The sequence below is a fragment of the Homo sapiens genome, chromosome 1, assembly GCF_000001405.40.
Source record: "Homo sapiens chromosome 1, GRCh38.p14 Primary Assembly".
Taxonomy (NCBI): Eukaryota; Metazoa; Chordata; class Mammalia; order Primates; family Hominidae; genus Homo; species Homo sapiens.
In genome coordinates, this window is record NC_000001.11 from 112965699 (window position 1) to 112973674 (window position 7976).

At 45.0% G+C, this 7976-nt stretch overlaps 1 annotated feature.

Moving 5' to 3' along the window:
- Positions 3332-3832: an enhancer, noted in NCBI's record as "H3K4me1 hESC enhancer chr1:113511652-113512152 (GRCh37/hg19 assembly coordinates)". NCBI's record gives its function as "activates a minimal SCP1, AML or CMV promoter by ChIP-STARR-seq in naive H9 embryonic stem cells {active_cell/tissue: H9 hESC(naive)}" and the evidence as "EXISTENCE:reporter gene assay evidence [ECO:0000049][PMID:30033119]".

The following is a 7976-nucleotide window of genomic DNA, read 5'->3' on the forward strand; positions in this document are numbered from 1 at the left end:
TTTGAGATGGAGTCTTGCTCTGTCGCCCAGGCTGGAGTGCAGTGGCGCGATTTTGGCGCACTGCAAGCTCGGCCTCCCAGGTTCACGCCACTCTCCTGCCTCAGCCTCCTGAGTAGCTGGGACTACAGGCACCCACCACCACGTAGAGATGGAGTTTCACCATGTTAGCTAGGATGGTCTCGATCTCCTGACCTCGTGATCCTTCCACCTTGGCCTCCCAAAGTGCTGGGATTACAGGCGTGAGCCACTGCACCCGGCCAAATTAAATTTGTTTTTAACCAGATTACCTGAGGCTCAATCTATGTCATCCTAATTCCCACTCTGGTCTGATATGGCTTGACTCCTGTTCCTTGTTTTTGCTAGCCCAGGGGGATAGTTTTGACCTGTGCTCTTTGTAATGTACATCATCGCTATTTAGGATCTTTTCTAGGAAGCATTCTTTCTAGAGATGGTCCTATGTATTTGCCAGACCTGTTTTCTTCCTTGACCCCTAGCTACTAAAAGTCCTAACCCTGAGTAGCTTCCCCACCTCCCTCTTTTCCTCCCTCCCTTCCCTCCTTTCTTCCTTCCATCTCTAGTAAAGTATTTTAGGCAAATGGGATGGGGAGTTCAATAATAACAATAATAAATTGATGATAGCCAAGATTTCTGGGATACTTACCATATGCCAAGCATTGCTCTAAGCACTTTAGATGTAGTAACACTCATTAATTCCTCACAAAAATGCTATAAACTAGGAACTGTTACAATCCCCATTTTACAGACATATACAGATACAGAGAGGTTAAGTAGCTTCCCCAAGGTCACATAATCAGTATTGTCTCGAGTCATCAGAAAGTAGTCATCATGGCCGGGCAAGTTGTCTCACGCCTGTAATCCCAGCACTTTGGGAGGCCAAGGCAGATGGATCACGAGGTCAGGAGTTTGAGACCAGCCTGGCCAACATAGTGAAACCCTGTCTCTACTAAAAATACAAAAATTAGCCAGATGTGGTGGCAGGCACCTGTAGTCCCAGATACTTGGGAGGCTGAGGCAGGAGAATGGCTTGAACCTGGGAGGGAAGGTTTACAGTGAGCTGAGACCGCACCATCACACTCCAGCCTTGGCAACAGAGCAAGACTCTGCCTGAAAAAAAAAAAAAAAAGAAAGTAGTCATCATTTAGTTTTCACCAAAAATACACAAGTAGAAATTGTCATTTTTAGCTATTAATACCATAGGAGACTAATCCATAGAATTTAAGGCCATCTTGACTTAGAAAAACCCTGTTTTGGGTTCCTTTTATGTTAGTAGAGCAAAACAACCATTATGAAAGCATGTGCCATGAAAGGTGCCTTTGAAACCAGAGATTCACCACAGAGAACTACCCCTTGCTTATCTGAATTTGGGGTAGTTATCAGTCTCTAGTCAGCTAAGTTGGGGACAAAGATGATGGGACATGGTTTTGTTAGCAGCTTATCTATTTATTTATTTATTTATTTTTTGAGATGGAGTTTCACTCTTTCACCCAGGCTGGAGTGAAGTGGTGCAATCTCGGCTCACTGCAACGTCCGCCCCCTCGGTGGGTTCAAGCAATTCTCCTGTGTCAGCCTCCAAAGCAGCTGGGATTACAGGCGCATGCCACCACACCAGGCTGATTTTTGTATGTTTAGTAGAGATGGGATTTCACCATGTTGGCCAGGCTAGTCTTGAACTTCTGACCTCAGGTGATCCACCCACCTCAGCCTCCCAAAGTGCTGCAATTACAGGTGTGAGTCACCACGCCCAGCCAACTAACAGCTTAATTTTAAGGTCACCTATTTCTAGGAAGTTCTGGGTGTCCTGGTCCCCATATTCCATGCTATAAGATCATTCAGTGTGAGAACCTGGACTTTATAGCCCTCACCCAAAGCAGCAGCAGATAGTTGGAATTATTGGACAGCTGCACATCAAGCCTACTGTGATTCAGCTGAGGGGTGCATGCAGCGAAGGAGGCCTCTAACATCACAGTGACTGGCTTTGTGTATCCATCTGCCTGGGGATCCAGACCTGGGTGTTCTACCTGGACCTTCATACTGCTGCACTGGTGAGCAAGATGAGGCTTAAATAAAGCATACTATTCAATTTGTGGTGACCTCTGAGAACCCCAAATCTGCCATGAATCCCTGCACCACACAATACCTGTGACACCTGTGCCAAGGTGAGGTCCAGTAGCTACCAAACCTACTTCTGAGCTGCATATTAGAGTGAAGCCTTCCTCCCTACCCTCCCTCTGTCTTACCTTTTGCACAAATCATGGGTTCAGATGTTATACCTATTATTGCACTCTGATAAGTTTTTTTTTTTTTTTTTTTTGCAGTCATGGAATAAGGCCATACCCTGTGGGTAGGGTATAAAGGTTTCCCTCTATATAGTAGGTGTTCTTATTATCAGTCATTCAAAGAAAAAGAGAATCCTCACCAGAAAATCTTGGAACATAGAACAGATGGAAGGTGGCACTTCTGGATATGCCTTTTTACATCTGAACTTGGAAGAGTTAAGAATTGTTGAAGGCCCTTCTCACTGATCAGGGGAAATAGCTTCTGTCACAGAGCTGCCTACTCCAGGAGAACCAAAAATGAAAGTAAACACTCATATTTTGTAAGTCTGTTCCTCAACTTCCATCAATCAAGTTTAATCTAAATCAAGGATTCAAACTGAGAAGCATTTAAGGACCAAGAAAAAGTTAATTAGCCCAGTATAAGTCAACAAGAAATGGTAAGCAGTATGGAGGAAAAGAAGTGCCACACCCTTCTAGGCATCCAAATTCAAGCATTTACAATGTACTTCATGAAGCAGTACCCTATACAGCACTAATAACAGCCCAAACTTGCTTGACATTTCTACATAACACATTATTCATTAATTCAGAAGAAAAATAGAATTCTTAAAACTCCTAACTTTATTTTTAATTAATATAAAGGAGGAACCAACAACAACAAAAAATTGTGTGGGAGTTAGAAAATAAGGACTAGGCGCCTGGGCGCGGTGGCTCACGCCTGTAATCCCAGCACTTTGGGAGGCCGCGGTGGGCAGAACACGAGGTCAGGAGATTGAGGCCATCCTGGCTAACACGGTGAAACCCCGTCTTTACTAAAAAATAGAAAAAATTAGCTGGGCGTGGTGGCGGGCGCCTGTAGTCGCAGCTACTCTGGAGGCTTGAGGCAGGAGAATGGCGTGAACCTGGGAGGCGGAGCTTGCAGTGAGCCAAGATCGCGCCACTACACTCCAGCCTGGGCGACAGAGCGACACTCTGTCTCAAAAAAAAAAAAAGGAAAAAAAGGACTAGGCAGGCAGATGTGGGGTGGGGCAAACAAAACATGGCAGCCAGCAGACCAGTCTATTTCAGCATAGTCTCTGCTGCAGTATTTAAGAAATAGGTAGAGCCAGCCAGGCGCGGTGGTTCACGCCTGTAATCCCAGTACTTTGGGAGGCCGAGGCGGGCGGATCACCTGAGGTCTGGAGTTCGAGACCAGCCTGACCAACATGGAGAAACCGCGTCTCTACTAAAAATACAAAATTAGCCAGGCGTGGTGGCACAGGCCTGTAATCCCAGCTACTTGGGAGGCTGAGGCAGGAGAATCACTTGAACCCAGAAGGCGGAGGTTGTGGTGAGCCCAGATCGTGCCATTGCACTCCATCCTGGGCAACAAGAGTGAAATTCCCCATCTCAAAAACAAAGAGATAGGTAGAGCTGGCCGTGGTGGCTCACGCCTGTAATCCCAGAAGGCTGAGTTCGGTGGATCACTTGAGATCAAGAGTTTGAGACTAGCCTGGCCAACATGGTGAAACCCCATCTCTGCTAAAAAAAAAAAAAAAAATACAAAAATTAGTCGGGCATGGTGGCAGGCATCTGTAATCGCAGCTACTTGGGAGGCTGAGGCAGGAGAATCGCTTGAACCCCAGAGGCAGAGGTTGCAGTGAGTTGAGATCGCGTCACTGCAGTCCAACGACAGAGTAAGACTCTGTCGCAAAAAAAAAAAAAAAAAAAAAGTAGAAAGCAGAACGCTTCTTCCCGGTGCCAAGGGGGATTTATGAAAGATCCCCAAGGAAGAGTTGAATATCAGAATGAGGGTCATTTTGGCAGTCCCATCCCTGTATGGAGACAGTCCTTTCGTTGTTACTTTTGGCAGATGAGGATTTGAGTTTAAGAGACCTGGTTGGGGGGGAGGGGGGAGGGATAGCTTTGGGAGATATACCTAATGCTAAATGACGAGTTAATGGGTGCAGCACACCAGCATGGCACATGTATACATATGTAACCAACCTGCACATTGTGCACATGTACCCTAAAACTTAAAGTATAATAATAATAAAATAAAAAAAAAAGAGAGACCTGGTGGATTTCCGTACAACTTCATAATTTCCCCCTATCCAAGACCCATGGTTCCATTTTTGTCACCGTGGCCACAGTGGCTGAAATGGCTCACTTCATCTTTTGCACTAAACAGCCTTCAGCCCCACACTGCACCGCTAAATGGACAAGTTCTTTTTTCCCTAGTGTCTTAAATTCATGGCCTCAGTCTGAGGCCTTTAGTTTTATACTGCTTTGGGAGAGTCCTCTTTACAGTCTTAGAGATATACATATACCTCTTACTGTTTACCACCACTAATTTAATAGCAAGAAAGAAACTGGAAATCTTGTAGGAATACTCTGTTCCTTTTTTTGTTTTTTGAGACGAAGTCTCACTCTTGTCACCAGGCTGGAGTGCAATGGCGCAATCTTGGGATCTTGGTTCACTGCAACCTCTGCCTCCCAGGTTCAAGTAATTCTCCTGCCTCAGCCTCCCCAGTAACTGGGATTATAGGTGCCTGCCAACACGCCTGGCTAATTTTTATATTTTTAGTAGAGACGAGGTTTCACCATGTTGGCCAGGCTGGTCTCGAACACCTGAACTCAGGTTATCTGCCTGCCTCGGCCTCCCAGTGTGCTGGGATTACAAGTGTGAGCCACTGCGCCTGGCCAAGGAACACTCTTTGTTCTATGCTACCTACTAGGACAGCTAGTCTACTCAGTTACCCCAAAACCAAAAGGATAGTAACTCAACAAGCTCAGAATACACCATTCTGCTTGCAGCCATTGTTTTCACCACTACCCCATTTCCCCCTGCACACATAGCTCATTACCTTGTCACATGTACACTTACTATAGTCACAGCAGGAGCTAGAATCTGGAGATGTTACATGCCACACAAGAGGTCAGTGAGAAGCACAAAACCATACATTGCAAATGGGTAACATATCAGTGTAGCCATCCAAGCAGAGGATTAGGTATGGCCTTCATCTCATGTTCCCATTAGGCTCAGATGGGCTAGATAATGGGGTTTTGCTCCTGTTTCCAATTCAAAGATAGTCAACCTGGGAGCTTTCTAACTCTATCATATGTATTTCATTTGTTTCACCAGTTACTCATTTGATCAACCCAGGGAAGACCATATCATGAATGAAACACAGCCCAAGTATGCTTTAACCATAACGTGGGAGTGCATAATTCAGGCTACCAAGACCATTTAACAGAATCCAGTGGAATGAGGGAAGTCTGGACTACAGGAGTTAGTGGGGGAATTCTCAGTCACTGCAACCATGCTTCTAAACAAAGGCCTTCACCAAGAACCTAGGGCAATCTTATTCCATCTGCCAGAACTTATAGGGATATCACTAAATTATGCTTAGTCAAAATTGGGTAATTTGTAGTTTATAAATACTATAAAACTGATATTTAAATCTAGGTCTACTTAATTCCTAGCTTCTGTTCTTAAGTGCTAGATTATTTTGATTCATTTATTTTGTTCAAAATCTTGACGTTATAGGAAAGGATGGGGATGAGGAGGATGATGAGGCAGGAAAATGCAGAACTGTTTCATAGTCCCAGCGCTGAACCTTTGTACAGGCTGTTTCTTCTTCATATAAAGCACTTCTTGGCCAGGCGTGGTGGCTCACACCTATAATCCCAGCTCTTTGAGAGGCTGAGGTGGGCGGGTCACTTGAGGTCAGGAGTTCGAGACAAGCATGGCCAACATGGTGAAACGCAATCTCTACTAAAAATACAAAAAAATTAGCCCGATGTGGTAGTGTGCCTGTAGTCCCAGCTACTTGGGGGGCTGAGGCAGGAGAATCGTTTGAACCAGGGAGGCAGAGGTTGCAGTGAGCCGAGATCGTGCCACTGCACTCTAGCCTGGGTGACAGAGCGAGACTCCATCTCAAAAAAATAAACAAATTAAAAAAATAAAAAGCACTTCTTCCTTCCACTTGATAAACTGTGTGCAGAATAACATGGAGATGGAGGAGAGGCAGGTAGATTAAGGGGGAGCAGTTTTAGTAATTCTATGATTCAGACCTCTTTTTAATTCAGCTTTCCTGCTAATTAATGTAAATTAGTAAGGTTTCTGCTGGGCGCAGTGGCTCATGCCTGTAATCCCAACACTTTGGGAGGCCAAGGCGGGTGGATCACGAGGTCAAGAGATCGAGACCATGCTGGCTAACATGGTGAAACCTCGTCTCTACTAAAAATACAAAAAAAAATTCGCCAGGCGTGGTGGCAGGCGCCTGTAGTCCCAGCTACTCAGGAGGCTGAGGCAGGAGAATGGCGTGAACCTGGGAACCAGAGCTTGCAGTGAGCCGAGATCACACCTCTGCACTCCAGCCTGAGCGACATAGTGAGACCCCGTCTCAAAAAAAAAAAAAATTAATAAGGTTTCATAATTATTATATTTACCAACCAGGTTCTTTCTACATAATTATTGTTTACCTTCTAATAAATTACTTACAAAGGCCACCTACAAATCCAAATTATATACAAAACGTTTCATTTCCTATTTCCTTCCCAGGGATGCATAATTATTTTGGAAAAATCAGTGGCAGCTGGGCACGGTGGCTCATGCCTGTAATCCCAGCACTCTGGGAGGCCAAGGCAGGCGGATCCATCTGAGGTCAGGAGTTCAAAACCAGCCTGGCCAACATAGTAAAACCCCATCCTTACTAAAAATACAAAAATTAGCTGGGCGTTCTGGTGCACGCCTATAGTCCCAGCTACTCAGGAGGCTAAGGCAGGAGAATCGCTTGAACCCAGGAGGCAGAGATCGCAGTGAGCTGAGATGGTGCCACTGCACTCCAGCCTGGGTGACAGAGCGAGACTGTCTCTTAGGAAAAAAAAAAAAAAAATCATTGGCTTGTAAGTTAAAATCTTTATCTTGCTCTACCTTCTCTGGAATACCTACATCTCTGATGTTTTTTTAACATTACATATTCACAAGCTTTACCAATTCATGGAAAGGATTCCTCTAGGATTTTGGTGGATCTCTTGAAGCACTAAGAACCTCAAGCAAAAATGTATGCAATCTTTGTACTTTAAAATTAAAGCATTTCAACCAGGAGCAGTGGCTCATGCCTGTAGTCCCAGCGCTTTGGGAGGCCAAGGCAGGATGATTGCTTGAGCCTTGGAGTTTGAGACTAGTCTGGCCAACATAGCCAGACCCCGTTTCTTTAAAAGAAAAAAAAAAACAATTAGCTGCATGTGGTGGCACACATGTAGTATCAGCTTTGGGAGGCCCAGATGGGAAGATTGCTTGATCTCAGGAGGTTGAGGCTGCAATGAGCTATGATCATGCCACTGCACTCCAGCCTGGGTGATAGAGCAAGACCCTGTCTCAAAAAAAAATTTTTTTAATAGATAAACATTCAGGCATTCCAAACTCCTAATGTATTGTCTACTATTAAGAATGCATGCTGGCTGAGGCAGGAGTTCAAGACCAGCCTGGCCAACGTGATGAAACCCCATATCTACTAAAATACAAAAATTAGCTGGGCCAGGTGGTGGGTACCTGTAATCCCAGCTACTCAGGAGGCTGAGGCAGGAGAATGTCTTGAACCCGGGAGGCAGAGATTGCAGTGAGCCGAGATCTCGCCACTGCATTCCAGCCTGGGCAACAGAGTAAGACTCCATCTCCAAAAAAAAAAAAAA